The 15,536-nt window shown below is 40.9% G+C and overlaps 1 protein-coding gene and 1 long non-coding RNA gene across 3 annotated transcripts in view, besides 3 other annotated features; one reads left to right on the top strand and one right to left on the bottom strand.

Moving 5' to 3' along the window:
• Window positions 1–15,536, bottom strand: part of RBPJ (recombination signal binding protein for immunoglobulin kappa J region) — a 329,683-nt gene that overhangs the window by 131,561 nt on the left and 182,586 nt on the right. The window lies entirely within an intron of this gene.
• Window positions 2,797–3,560: an enhancer, noted in NCBI's record as "NANOG-H3K27ac-H3K4me1 hESC enhancer chr4:26301633-26302396 (GRCh37/hg19 assembly coordinates)". NCBI's record gives its function as "activates a minimal SCP1, AML or CMV promoter by ChIP-STARR-seq in naive H9 embryonic stem cells {active_cell/tissue: H9 hESC(naive)}" and the evidence as "EXISTENCE:reporter gene assay evidence [ECO:0000049][PMID:30033119]".
• LOC105374542 (uncharacterized) lies at window positions 4,505–15,418 on the top strand. The gene is made up of 2 exons (XR_925508.3): window positions 4,505–4,573; window positions 15,122–15,418. It is a non-coding gene; the product is annotated as an uncharacterized LOC105374542 (long non-coding RNA).
• Window positions 14,657–14,706: a silencer, noted in NCBI's record as "silent region_15334". NCBI's record gives its function as "represses an Ori minimal core promoter by ATAC-STARR-seq in GM12878 lymphoblastoid cells {active_cell/tissue: GM12878}" and the evidence as "EXISTENCE:reporter gene assay evidence [ECO:0000049][PMID:35858748]".
• Window positions 14,877–14,926: an enhancer, noted in NCBI's record as "active region_21393". NCBI's record gives its function as "activates an Ori minimal core promoter by ATAC-STARR-seq in GM12878 lymphoblastoid cells {active_cell/tissue: GM12878}" and the evidence as "EXISTENCE:reporter gene assay evidence [ECO:0000049][PMID:35858748]".

Genomic DNA, 15,536 nt, shown 5'->3' with positions numbered 1-15,536 from the left:
GATAAAATAAACTCTATAGAAAATAAGCAAATAATCATTTCTTTGCTAGTTGACTTACCTTCTAGCTTCATAGTAAGTTCAAGATTATATTTCTTTATATTCTTTTTTTTCTTTCTTTTTTTTTTTTTTTCAGACTGGAGTGCAGTGGCACAATCACAGCTCACTGTAGCCTTGAACTCCTGGGCTCAAGAAATCCTCTGGCCTCAGACTCCTGGGATTACAGATGTAGGCCACTGCACTCGGCTCTGAGATTATTATATATATTTCATAAAGATTATATATATATATATATTTCATATGGATTACATATATATTTCATATGGATTATATATATATATATTTATTCATTTATTATTTATTTATTTATTTATTTATTTATTTATTTATTTTTTGACAGGGTTGCAGTCTGTCACCCAGGCTGGAGTGCAGTGGTGTGATCTCAGCTCACTGCAGCCTCCACCTCCCAGATTCAAGCGTTTCTATTTCCTCAGCCTCCTGAGTAGCTGAGACTACAGGCATGCGTTACCATGCCCAGCAAACTTTTGTATTGTTAGTAGAGACGGGGTATGACTATGTTGGCCAGTCTGGTCTCAAACCCCTGGCCTCAAGTGATCTGCCTACCTCGGTCCCTCAAAGTGCTGGGATTACAGATGTAGGCCACTGCGCCCAGCCAGATTATGTTTCTGACAAGGATAAGATTCCTCAGCCTTTCAGATGTAGAATGATCTTAGTTTAAGATAAAAATAATAGCTGGAATCATTGAGCGCCAACTTAGTCCAAGAGACTTCAAATGGAGATGATCTCATTTGATCCTTCCACACCCCTGAACAGGACTTCTACTTCCCTTTTTATAGCTAAGGAAGCTGTGGCCCAGAAAAATGAAGAAACTTTCCCTAGCTCATACTCACAGTTACAGACATTGCTAGAATGCGAATGCTGGATACTCCTCTGACATTTCTCTATAACCAGCCCTATGCTAGGCCTGCTGGGTCACTTCCTCCCTTATTACCATTGTGAATTAGGACCCCAACGCTGGGGAGACTTGAAGGGTAATAAGCATGCTGATGTTACCTGGAGGACCTAAGATCTAGTACATTACTTGTAGGCCATTCCAGAGAGCTGGAGAAACGGGACTGGGGAGAGGGGAAAGAATGGAGTTGGAAATAGAAATTCCTTGTTTTCAAATGTAGAAGAAAGTATGAAGAAATAGAAAAGAACACCTTAAAGGTTCCTTCCAGCTCTAAAGTTCAGCCAATTTAAGGCTCTATCTTAATGGAGCTGAAGATACCCTACAATTCAGAGAAGTTCCTCTTCTGACTTAGCCTTGTGCTGGGACCCATGATTGAGGTAACTCCTTGACAGCTCCAATGGCTAAGGTTCCATCAGGAAGTGTGTCATCAGACTTTCTCCTTGTTGTTATACTCTTCTAACAATCTGTGCAAATTTTGTCCTTTTATACTTATTTTTAAAAATTATCCTGGCTGGGCTCATTTCTCATGCCTGTAATCTCAGCACTTTGGGAGGCCGAGGCAGGTAGATCATTTGAGGTCAGGAGTTCGAGACCAGCCTGGCCAACATGGCGAAACCCCATCTCTACTAAAATACAAAAAAATAGCTGGGCCTGGTGGCGCACACCTATAATCCCAGCTACTCGGGAGGCTGCAGCAGGAGAATCACTTGAACCCAGGAAGTGGAGGTTGCAGTGAGCCAAGGTTGCGCCACTGCACTCCAGCCTGGGCAACAGAGTGAGACATGGTCTCAAATAAATAAATAAATATAAATTATCCTTAGGCTTCATATTTAGCTTCAGCCTATATCATGCCTACTTCCAGGGATTAGCCCAAATTGCCTCTAAAAATGTGACAAATTGCAAAACTGCTTTTTATTGAAATTTTCTATTATTTTAAAAATGGGCAATACTGCATGTATTTACTGCATGCATGTAAAAAAAATTTAAATTTTTTTCTTTTTTTTTTTTTGAGACAGAGTCTCGCTCTGTCACCCAGGCTGGAGTGCAGTGGCGCCATTTTGGCTCACTGCAAGCTCCGCCTCCCAGGTTCACGCCATTCTCCTGCCTCAGCCTCCCGAGTAGCTGGAACTACAGGCGCCCGCCACCACGCCCGGCTAATTTTTTGTATTTTTAGTAGAGATGGGGTTTCACCGTGTGAGCCAAGATGGTCTCGATCTCCTGACCTCGTGATCCGCCCACCTCAGCCTCCCAAAGTGCTGGGATTACAGGTGTGAGCCACCATGCCCGGCTATCCCTGTTTTTTTATTTGGACCCAGAACAGTTATTAAAGGAATTTAAACAGAGGCCACGTGGTGCAGGAGGATGGGTCAGATCTTAGTTCATAACAACTGGGAATCCTTGGGTATGTTCCTTAACTTCTGGGATCATTTGCAAACCGAGGATAAAAATACTCACCTCATCCATTTGTAGTTAATAATAAGTAACACATGTAACATACATTGCAAAATGCCTGGCACAAAGTAGTCATTGGATCAGCAGTCCCCTCCCTGTTTGGATGTTTTAGGGTGTTCATCTGTAACTTTCTTAAGAAATTAACTGTGAAGAATTCTGTCTAGAACCACAGGTCAGATGAACAGTGTGTCAGTGTAATCTTCTAAATTTGCCATCAGGTAGTTCATTTGTTTCTTTAAAGCCTCTACTCTATCAAATATTTAATACTTATATGACTCAAGCTCTAATGGCTTTATTTATCCTATCCCACTTTCATCTTATTAAATCTTCATCTGTCATCCGTTGATTCAAAAAGAAGAATTTCCTGAACACCCTCTATGAGCCAGGGGCTGTTACTAAGCACTGGAGAGACAGGTCAAGGCCCTTAGGGGACTTGCATTCAAGTATTCGAGTATAGAGACACAGATAATGAAAGAGTAAACAAGTCAGACATTTTAAATAATGATAAAGGTTATGCCAGAAAATTAAACAGGAGTGATCAGTGCTAGAGAGGGAGGGAGGCGGACTTCTATTCAGGTCAGCCGCCCTCTGAATAGTAAATTCCTTTTGCTTAGTAGTACATTCCACCTTCTTAAGCTGCTTTAAGTCTGCATTTCATGAAGGAAGGTTTCAAACAATACAACAACATTTACAATTTTAAGTTTGCCGTTTAGGCTCTAGCACTATGTAGATACGAAGGTCTTTCAGGAGTATAGACTTGGATATTTCTTCCTTCCTTTAGTTAAAGTCTAGATTGGAAAAGAAAAGTGATGAGCATTCAAATTCTGAATGCCAGTTATAAAAGGGCAAAGCCTCCTGCCAACTATTAACATTTATCATCAAGACCACCCACCCCCACCCCTGCCCATACACACACCTCCAGCTCTGCAAGGTGGATGTTTTTATCCCTATTTTAAAGCAGGAAGAAACAAGGCTCCCAAAATTCAAGTGATTTGGCCAAGGACACTCTGGTCAGAAGTGGGCAGATAAGGTGCGATGCCATCTTTCTGCTTCCAAGTCAAGAATCTTTTAATTTATATCTGTTAACCAACAATTTCATGCCATTTCCACTCCTCCAAAAACCTTGCTTCTTCATTAAGAGGTTTGTGTTGAAAACAACAACTGGGCCAGGCGCGGTGGCTCACGCCTGTAATCCCAACACTTTGGGAGGCCGAGGCGGGTGGATCACCTGAGGTGAGGAGACCAGCTTTGCCAACATGGTGAATCTCCGTCTCTACTAAAAATACGAAAACAAAAAAAAAAATTAGTCAGGCGTGGTGGCAGGCATCTGTAATCCCAGCTACTTGGAAGGCTCAGGCAGGAGAATCGCTTGAACCCAGGAGGCAGAGGTTGCAGTGAGCCAGGATCTCGCCATTTCACTCCAGCCTAGGCAACACGAGCGAAACTGTCTCAAAAAAAAAAAAAAAAAAAAAAAAAGCACACAGTCTTAACTATCTTTTCTTAAAATCTGCTCGTTATTTGCCAGGATAAAGCAATTCCTATTTGTGTATTATAAACTTAATACAATTTATATGCCGAAAATCTTTTTCCTTTCTTTCTCCCACATGAGGCATTTTTATGATGATTAAGAGGAAAACAGCCTAAAATGCTATATTAGTTCACAAAATTTCTCAGAATGGTGTATGAAAACTGAAACTGAAACATTACAGAGGTGGTGAAATCTACTTATACTCAATTACTTAAGGGCAGAAAAATATTAGCTACCATATCAGTGGCTACAGATCTACATGATGTGTTAATACTGATATTAAAAATAAGCATGAAATTTGGGTGAATCTTCTAGATAGGGGTGTTCTTCTAAACAGATTTAGAAAAGTTGATGAATTTGTAAACCATTAAAATTAACTGAGGGATAAAATGAGAAACGCATAGGATATCATCATATTAAACTTTCCTAAGAAAGTAAGAATCATTTTGAAATGTGATTGGTTTCCATCTTCTTAGTTGGCTCTGCCCTGACCCCAACTCCTTTATTTTTTTGAGGTAGAAAGTATGTCCTTGCTACATTCCTTTTTTGGAGTTCTTTTATTTCATTCTTTTGGAATCGGAGAGAAACAAGTTGCTGCCCCAGGAAAGCGTGCATTTTCGGAGGTACGAATTCAGCTTTCTCTGACCTACCTTTTTTCTTTGAAGCGTAAATTTTAAATGTGCCTTCAATGGTTAGTTTTAGTTCTTAAATTGATTTCACAGGTTTACTTCTTCATTCAAAAGCACTTCTTCAGAATATTATTTTGTACGTTGATAACTCCTCTGGTCTTCCTGCCTCTAAAATTTGGATTTTCCTGGCTTGATGACATAAGTTTTGGCGTTGGCCTTTGTCCTTTCCACATCCCCCCAACAACCCGCCCTGAATCAGTCTCCACTGTTAATAATACCAAACTAATGTGCTAAAGAACAGGCTTGTCAAGCACACTGCTTTGATCTTGAGTTTATAGGAATTTGTAAGCCAGAATGTTTGCTCCAATTATGGTTATAATGAACAAATACTAGGTTTTAAAAAGATCCTTTTAATACTTCTTCCTCTTCACTTACTGTAAAGAGTTTAGGTTCTCTGGGAGGCACACAACTAATTTAACTTTGCCCATCTCGTGCAGATCCCCCGTGGAGTTTGTAAAACTGCAACCCATAATCTCCTCTTCAAAAAAACACACTGATTATTTGTGCTATGCTAGTTCCAAATATTACAATAGTTTCTGGATTTTTGCCACATTCCTCTCTAGATGGTCATTTGGGAGACTTTGTTTATAATGTGTGTTTTGAATGAAATTTTAAAATTCCAAGACCACAGGATGTGAGACTCAATTGTGAGTTAAACTTAATTTTGCATTTGTTCAAAGAGGTCCTACTTAGGTTACAACAATAGCAAACATTGAATAGAAAATGAGAGAAGGTATTTTTTTTTCCCAAGGATTAGTGTTTGAAAAAAAATATGAGGGAAAGCATGCTATTTTCAAGGATTAGTGAATGTTTTCAAAATGGCCTACGGCATTCAGTTGGTGGTTCAGGTGAATTAAAACATTAATCCGTTTCATGGAAATCAGAAGAAACATTTGTATCAGTGATTGTGCTAATTGTCATTTTAAAATTAGAGACAAAACCCTGAATTTTAAAATAGTACCTCCCTTCCAAAAAAGAAAAGTTAATGGAGATGAACAGTATAATAGCATTTAAAAAAAAATTAAGGCAACATTAGAAAGCTCTCCTGGGACTTTTTCCTACTAATCAATTCTGGGTGGTGGTTTTTTTTTGTTTTTTGTTTTTTTCTCATATTCTTTGTTTATTTTAGAAGCTGCTGCTCATTAAACAACTGGCAGAGATTTTAGGACAAAATGAATTGTTTTTTAAAAATAGATAAAAATTTTCTTTTTTCTTTTTCTTTCTTTTTTTCTTTGATAAATTATAATTTTCTTGCATCTGGTTTCAACTTCAAGTTTTTCAACTTTATAAATGATAGACTAAACCAGGGTGTCTGACCAGCTGTTTTATGCTCTGTCTCTTTAGCCAGTCGCCACTTGGACATATTATTTTACCCTCTGCTACTTATAAAAAAGGTAACAGGTAATGAACACAGAAACACAATAACACGTGGAAGCGAAGGCCAGCATCTTCCATCGACATTCTCAGTCACTGCTGGATTTCTCCTCAAGATGTTTCTGTTTACATTCTCCCTATACATCCCCCCCATACACCGTCTCTCTCTGTCTCTCTCTCTCTCTCTCTCTCTTTCTCTCGTACACACACACACACACACACAAAGTGATTTTTTAAATTTATTTGTTTATCTTTGAGACAGGGTCTCACTCTGTCACCCCGGCTAGAGTGCTGAGTGCTGTGGTGTGCTCACTGCCCACTGCAGCCTTGACCTCCCAGGTTCAAGTGATCCTCCCACCTCAGCCTCCCAAGTAGCTGGGACTACAGGTGTCTGCCACCACGCCTGGATAATTTTTTAAAATTTTCATAGAAACCGGGGCTCGCTGTGTTGCCTAGGCTGGTCTGAAATTGTTGGGCTCAAGCGATCCTCCTGCCTTGGCCTCCTAAAATGGTGGAATTACAGACATGAACTACCGTGCCCAGTCCACAAGTGATTTACATGACACGACCTTTCTGGAATTCTATAAACACAGGATATGCAACACGGGTTAACCACTTGTCTAGGAAAGAAAACAAGCAGAGAGTTGCCCACAGAACACATCTTAACATTTGGGCTTCTATGTATGCCAAGAAAGTGATCATTTTGAGTCTTTGCCTGAATAATACCAGGACCTTGAAAGCGCAATTGCTATTTTAAATGGATGTTGCTTATTAACAGAATACAGAATGAATTATGGCCTCTGAATTAAGCTCTTTTATTGTTGACCTTGCTCTTCAGAGAGGGTGTGGTAGGTAACCAATGACAAGTATGTAGCGTATATTAGGTACAAAGAAAACTATTCTACTTGGTCAAAAATAGAATATAAACATGAATGGAACTTATTAAAATAAAACTATTTGTTATTCATCAAAGTAAAGAATAAGATATTTAATAGTCATATATGCCAACCTCCTTAAAACTTGTATGAAATAGAGCGGCGAATAAATCATTAAATAAATGCCCTAAGTATTGTCCTTCTTTGCTAAACCATTTGATTGACATTGAACCTGATTAATATCACCCTAACTTAAGGACACCATCCACCGTCCATAAAGCCACATTCTGCTGTTGAATGTAGCTTTATGCTCAGCAGCTACATTCAACAGCAGAGTTTTAAGCTCAAGTCTTCTCCCAGCTACCTAATGCTAAAAAAAGAAAAAAAGAGCATTGTTAGAGGTGGGGTAGGTAGGGATGTGACTAACAGCCTTGTGTTCCTGTAATTATAGCGGGAGATTGCTGTGCCAAATATTAGGAACTTTTCTGTTCTACAGAAGAAATTACATCAGGAAGCTCAGCAACTACTGGTAATTACAGAAATTGCCAGTTCAAGGAATCCAATAGTCCCTCTAAACTCCACTTAAGACAGGCCCAAAGGAAAGACATTCAGTGGAGGTAGAGGAAGTGCTTTCTCTCCATTCACATTTATGAACTCATTTGGGCTCATTAATTCAGGTGCTCTTATAGTAGTTCTAAATGGGAGGAATCTGTTTTCTCCATTACTGATATCAAATGAGCATTGCAGGAGTGAAGTGATTTACTGTGGTTATACAATTATATCCTTCCTCTAATTTCACCCCAGGGGTTAACTACAGCATCAAAATCTGAGAGTGGATTCAGCAGAGGGGCTCAGATTGTAGAGGCAGGAAATCCCTAAACATCCTTGAATCATATGATTATTGGACCAGCCCACACTGAGTGGCTGAAGATCCACAATTAACGGCCCTCATCCAAGTCCCAAATCAGCCTTGAGCTTGATGTCCTGATGCCACAGGGCTATGGGGAAGGAGGTGACCTCCAGAAAACCTGCTGCCTTTACAGGACCAATTCTGAGAATTGGGTACAGTTGGGTAGAGTGTGCCTTTGAAATCTCTACCCATTCTTTCCTCTCTTCTACTGCCATTAGTATCTTCCTTCCAGTCACATCTCATCAGGGTTTTGATCCTACACTCCATCACATTAGTGCCCAACTTTCTGCTTCCTAAAAAGCAGACTGCTACTTTTTTAAGAAGCAGAGAGTTGGGCACTAATATGTCCACTACTACTACTACTGCAACAACTACTAGCATTAACTACTTACAATGAGATAAAACAATTCATGCCGTGAATGGAAGGGAAGAAGCATCTTTCTCCCTCACACGTATGTGCATGTGTGGAAGACCCACACACACCCATGCACACACACACACCCACACACACACACACACACACACACTGATGCACCCTTTCTTCCTGGACAACGGCCATATACTTGTCATTTCATTCCACAAAGTCATTCTCATTGGAGGAAATGTAAGCCTAGTGGAGGGGAGAAAAATGTAATGTCTTGTCATTTCCCTGCTGAAATGTTTTCAGTGATTTACGGCTCTTTGTCCCAAAGCCCAAAACCCATTAATCCAGAGGAAATGTCCAGAAGGGATCATTCCTAAGAAGGGCAAAGCCTGGTGAACAGAGTAATACCCTCCAGGGGTTCACGGTTTATCCCTGATTCCTCTTTCCGTCATCAGCCCTATCCAACCCGGTGGCAGGTCTTGTTAGTCCTATTGTTAAACTATGCCCACATGTAATAATTTTTTTTTTTTTTTGAGACGGAGTCTTGCTGTGTCTCCCAGGCTGGAGTGCAATGGCGCGATCTCAGCTCACTGCAACCTTCACCTCCCAGGTGATTCTTGTGCCTCAGCCTCCCGAGTAGCTGGGATTACAGGCACACACCACCATGCCCGGCTAATTTTTTTGTATTTTTAGTAGAGACAGGGTTTCACCATGTTGGCCAGGCTGGTTTTGAACTCCTGGCCTCAAGTGATTCACCCACCTCGACCTCCCAAAATGCTGAGATTACAGGCATGAGCCATTGCACCCAGCCTACATATAAAAATTTTGACCATCTTCCTTCTACGCCCTAGTCCGGGGCACCATCACCTCTTTCTAGGTACCTGTGTTACCTTCCCTGCTTCTCCCGACCTCTACTCCACTCCCGTCCCCTACAATCCACTCTCTACACGACATCTGGAGTACTTTTAAAAATGTAAATCAGATCATCTTACTCCTAAATTTAAAACTTCCCAGCCGGGCGTGATGGCTCATGCCTGTATTCCCAGCACTTTGGGAGGCCAAGGCGGGTGGATCACAAGGTCAGGAGTTCAAGACTAGCCTGGCCAAGATGGTGAAACCCTGTCTCTACTAAAAACTACAAAAATTAGCCAGGCATGGTGGCAGGTGCCTGTAATCCCAGCTACTCGGGAGGCTGAGGCAGGAGAATTGCTTGAACCCGGGTGACAGAGGTTGCAGTGAGCTGAGATGGTGCCACTGCACTCCAATCTGGGCGACAGAGTGAGACTCCATCTCAAAAAAACAAAAACAAAAACAAAAACAAAAACAAAAACAAAAACAAAAACAACTTCCTGGCCGGGTGCCATGGCTCATGCCAGTAATCCCAGCACTTTGGGAGGTTGAGGTGAGCAGATTACCTGAGGTCAGGAGCTCGAGACCAGCTTGGCCAGCATGGTGAAACCCTGTCTCTACCAAAAACACAAAAATTAGCTGAGTGTGGTGGCACATGCCTGTAATCCCAGCTACTGGGGAAGCTGAGGCAGGAGAATTGCTTGAACCTGGGAGGCAGAGGTTGCAGTGAGCAGAGATCGTGCCACTGCACTCCAGCCTTGGTGACAAATCGAGACTCCATCTCAAAAAAAGAAGAAAAAAACACTTCTCATATACATGTCTATTATTTTTGTCATTCCTGAATTGTTTTGCCATCATAATTAGCATTGGAAAATCTTTTAATATAAAAACTCTGTGCTTTTTATTTTTTTATTTCTTATTTTGGAGACATGGTCTCACTCTGTCACCCAGGCTGGAGTACTATGGCACAATCACAGCTCAGTGCAGCCCCGAACTCCTGGGTTCAAGCAAACTTTCTGCCTCAGCCTCCCAAGTAGCTGAGACTTTAGGCATGTGCCACCAGACTTGGCTAATTAAAAAAAATTTTTTGTGAGGACAGGATCTCACTATGTTGCCCAGGCTGCCCTTGAACTCCTGGGCTCAAGCAATCCTCCTGCCTCAGCCTCCCAAAGTGCTGGGATTACAGGTGTGAGCCATCATGCCAAGCTGACTCTGTGCTGTCTTGCAATAAACAAAATAAAAAAAAAAAGGAAGCTGAGGGCACCACCTTCCAGATGCAAGAGATGGGGTGAGTGGTAACACCTAGTAAAGGGGGGAAACCTAGCAAAGCCCTGAGGCCTGCAGCTGAGGAAGAAAAGGGAATGCTAAGAGCCTACTTGGGCCTGAGGAGGAACCTGGGTTATGCAGTAGAAGGACCCCAACTGGCCTAAGAGCCCCTTCAGAGTGTGGCTTCTGCTTACCTTTCCAGCCTACTCTCCCATTCTCACTCCCCTCCCTGTACCTTGTGCTCCAGCTATATCCAAGTGTCCATAGTATACAGATCCAAATATGCTATCTACCCTAATGAACCAGCAGTCCCATTTCTGGGTATAACATCAGAAGGAAACCATATATCAAAGTGATATCTGCATGCCCATGTTCATTGGAGCATTATTCACAATAGCCAAGACATGGAAACAACCTAAGTGTCCACTGATGGATGAATGGATTAAAAAATTGTGATACACATATATATATATAAACACACCATATATATATATATGTATATACCTCACACATACACACACACCACAGTTTTTTAATACATACACAATAGAATGTTATTCTGTTAGGATTTTGGCCAGGCTCAGTGGCTCGCACCTGTAATCCCGGCAATTTGGGAGGCCAAGGCAGGTGGCTCACTTGAGGTCAGGAGTTTGAGACCAGCCTGGCCAACATGGTGAAACCTCGTCTCTACTAAAAATAACAAAAGTTAGCTGAGCCCGATGGTGGGCGGCTGTAATCCCAGCTACTCGGGAGGCTGAGACAGGAGAATCGCTTGAACCCGGGAGGCAGAGGTTGCAGTGAGCCGAGATTGTGCCACTGCATACCAGCCTGGGCAACAGAGCTAGACTCCATCTCATAAAAATATATATATTATTCAGTCATAAAAAAAAAGTGAGGAAATTTTGCCATTTGCAACAACATGGATGCAACTTGAGGCCATTATGCTAAATGAAATAAGTCACACAGAGAAAGGCAAATACTGTGTGATGTCACTTTTATGTAAAATCTATGAAGTTGAACTCATAGAAGCAGAGAATAGAATAGAGGTTGCCAGGGGCTGAGGAGTAGGGAAAATGGAAAGATGTTGGTCAAAATGTACAAACTTTCAGTTATAAGATGAGTAAGTTCTGGAGACTAAATATAAAGCATGGTGGCAATAATTGCCAATACTGTATTGCACACTTGAAATCTGCTAAGACATTAGATCTTAAATATTTTCACCACACATTAAAAAAAGTAAAAGTGTGACGTGAGGGATGTGTTAACTAACTTGATTGTGGTAATCATTTCACAATATGTACATATATCAAATCGTCACATTGTACACGTTAAACTTGTATGGTTTTATTTGTCAAGTATACCTCAATAAAACTGGAAAAAATAAAAATATATGTAAAACCTTAAAAAACAAACTGAAGGGCTGGACGCAGTGACTCACACCTATAATCCCAGACCTTTGGGAGGCCGAGGCAGGTGGATCAACGGAGGTCAGGAGTTCAAGACCAGCCTGGCCAACATGGTGAAACCCTGTCTCTATTAAAATACAAAAATTAACCAGGCATGGCAGCGCATGCCTGTAATCCCAGTTACTCAGGAGGCTGAGGCAGGAGAATCACTTGAACCCAGGAGGCGGAGGTTGCAGTGAGCAGGGACTGTGCCACTGCACTCTGGCCTGGGCGACAGAGCGAGACTCCATCTCAAAAAAAAAAAAAAGTCATTCATACCTGCTTGTCTTGTCACTCATTTCCTTTGCTTAGAAGGACCTTCCCCACCTTTTCTTATTAGTGAGTATTTATTCTACAACTCCCCAGAATAGATTTCCCACATGACAATTTGATGTCTTGATTTTCTGCCCTTGCTCTGAAGCTTGTACAATTGTTAAGACTGTTCTTGGACTCTAAATGACAACTTTGTGATAACATCCTTCAGTACTTTCCCAAATTTTGAAGTTTTCTCTATGCCATGAAAATTAATATTTGTATTTCTGTTGGATGCAAAAAGTTATACTGAACAATATCCTGTTGTGAATAGACCTCAATGATGCAGATGTTAACCCATAACCCAGAAGAGAATCTTAATATACTAGTCATTCCAACAAGTGGCTTCTCCCCCTACTCGCCTCTTTCTCTGGACTCTGGATTGTTCCACAAAGATTAACACTCATTTTCTCTGCTTTTTTTCCATGCACATTAATTTTGTCTTTCTGCAACACTTCTGAAGCAGGTATTATAGAAATATGGGTAATAAACAGAGAGCAAAGCCTTCTAAGTGAATACCTATTTGCTCACAGCCAGTAAACAGCATTCAAGGGGAATGCTTTCTATTTTTTAAAATGAAGGATTATTTACTTTAGCATATCTGCTTTCTTAGAGGAAGACCAGCTGGTTTAAGAAATAAATAAAGGCTATTAATCTTTATGTATTTCATTTACGATTCTCTTCTCGAAGGAGGAGACCCATTAATAGAAACCTTTATAAGTACTGTAATATTAAATAAAAGTGCACTAAGTTATCTACTTTTAGAGGAATATTTAGGGTGTAATTTTCAGCCAACTGGAGAGAACCTAACAAAACTCGAGTGCTTAAAAGAAGGCATGTTATCGCTGAAGTTAAACTTGATTTCTTTTATGGCAGAACTGGACAGCTGCTCACACCTGCCTTAACTTTTCTTTTTTCTTCAGCCTAAAGTTATCTATTCCAGGATTCTATGTCATATGGTATAAAGCTTTGGTTTCAATCAGTCACTAACATAGAAGCTTGGATATATTTGGAATTCCTTTTGGGGGAAAAAATTGGCCAAAGCTTTTGATAGCTTTGCTTCTCACACCCAGGCCAAACTGGGCTGGCTCTCTACTGGGACAAGAATGCATATTGGCATCTCATCCTTAAAGCCACAGAGTCACAGCATATTGGTCCAAAAAGGGTTATTACAGCTCATGCGGTCTAACTTTTTTTACTTTTTTTTTTTTTTTTTTTTAGACAGGGTCTCGTTCTGTGGTGCAATCATAGCTCACTGCAGCCTCAAACTCCTGAGCTCAAGTGAACCTCCTGTCACAGTCTTCCAAGTAGCTAGGACTACAGGCATGTACCACCATGCCCAGCTAAGTTTTTTAAGTCACATGTAGAGATGGGAGGTGGGGTCTCGCTGTTTTGCCTAGGCTGGTTTCGAACTCCTGGCCTCAAGCAACCCTCCCACCATGTCCTCCCAAAGTCCTGGGATTTCAGACATGAGTCACCATGCCCAGCCTAACTTATTTATTTTATATTTTTCTTTAACTTTATATTGGCATTCCTTGCTCTCTTTTAGCAAAGTCCTTAATTAATTGACAATATAGAATATTTATATTACAGGTAGGTACCTGTTACAAGATGCCAAGACAAATTAACAAGATTTAGCAGGTCATTCAAGCACTCTCACAACTCTGATACTTGAGAGACAGTCCACCAGACAGATCAACCTTCAATTCCTGTATATTCTCCAAGTTCTATGCCTTAATTTGGTAAAGACATTAGAGAGAAAGGTACCTGGGCCACCTTTCCTCAGCTTCTTCCTCAAATATATTAACCAACTTACAGGTGAGGTGTGTCCTCTGTTTACATTCAGGGTTAATATGAGTACATCTTTTGCAAGCGTGTGATTGAAGATACTGACCACAATGTTAAGCGGTATTAACTCTACACAACTCCACGTGATAAAGTCCTTCTTGAATTTAGCTTCAGGCAATGATAGCATGCATGCTCACTCTTGTCAGAAAGTGAAATCTCTGCAGCCTATCACGCTTCTCTTTTCACCTCTGCTGCCAGAAAGATCTGAACCAAATTTATTGCCAAGTGTTGTAATATGATCATTTCTGGTGCCTAGAATTATTTACTCCTTTTTCTTTTTCTTTTTTTTTTTTTTTTTTTTTTTGAGACCAAGTCTCACTCTGTCGCTGAGGCTGGAGTGCAGTGGTTTGACCTGCATACCACTCTCAGGTTCAAGTGGTTCTCCCACCTCAGCCTCCCAAGTAGCTGGGATCACAGGCACCTGCCACTGTGCCCAGCTAATTTTTGTATTTTTAGTAGAGATGGGGTTTCACTATGTTGGCCAGGCTGGTCTTGAACTCCTGACCTCTAGTGATCTGTCCACCTCGGCCTCCCAAAGTGCTGGGATTACAGGCATGAGCCACCAGGCCCAGCCCTACTCCTCTTTCTTTCTTAAACATTTTATTTGTAAACTGCTTCAAGTAATTTTGGAAGTATGTAAGTTAAACATAAAAAAATTTAATAAAATAGGTAAAAACAATTGGTAGGAAGTAAGGAATAGTCAATCTTCCTAATGAAACTTTTCTGTGCAAAGGCCTTCATGCCAAGTTTCTCATTTGAAGGATGGTGAAAAGGCCTTATGCTTTGTGCTGGGCTTAATCCCCAGCTATACAACTTACTTGTTAAATAACTGTACAAAAGTGACCTCGCTTCCATTTCCTCATTTTTAAGTGGGGATATTAATGCTGTTGTTCCACTGGGGGGTTGTGACAACCCAATGAGAAAACATGGGGAAATACTTTCTAAACAGTGAGTCACTCTAGAAATGTTGGTTGTTATAACTTCCCTGTCTTGCAGGGCTGAGCCACTCTAGTTTAAAGAATACGTGTTTGTGAGGGCTTTTAAAATAAACTCACAAATAAATTTGCAAGTTCTTTGATACTCCTTTCAAGAAGTGGAGCCTAATTCTTCTCTCCTAGGGTGTGGTCTGTAGTCAGTAACTGAGTTTTAGCGAATTCAATGTGGCAGCAGTGACAATGTGCAACCCGTGAGAATAAGTCATTACATGCATTGTGGCTTCCTCCTTGCTCTTGCTCTTAGATCACTCATTGCAGAAGAAGCCAACTGCCATGCCAGAGGGGCACTCAAACAGCTCTGCAAGGAAGTCCCTGTGATAAGCAACTGAAGACTCTGCCATCGGCCATGAGAGCGCCACCTTGGAAACAGATTCTTCAGCCTTAGTCAAATTTTCAGAAGACTGTATGTCCAGCCAACTTCTTGACTACAATCCCTTTATAGATCCCAAGCTAGAACCTCCCAGCTAAGCCACTCCTGGATTCCTGACCCTGAGAAACTCTGTGAGAGAATAAATGTTTATTCTTGCCTTAAGCTCCTAAATTTGGAGGTAATTTGTTACTCAGTGATATGTAATTAAAAATGTCTGTAGTTATCTACCCATCCTTTTGGAGAGCACTACTGAGGACTAATATCAGACTTTATACTCTTCCCAGATGTT

The sequence above is a fragment of the Homo sapiens genome, chromosome 4 (assembly GCF_000001405.40).
Source record: "Homo sapiens chromosome 4, GRCh38.p14 Primary Assembly".
NCBI lineage: Eukaryota > Metazoa > Chordata > Mammalia > Primates > Hominidae > Homo > Homo sapiens.
The sequence above is the reverse complement of the archived record's forward strand: the minus strand, read 5'-3'. Positions and strand labels throughout refer to the sequence as shown.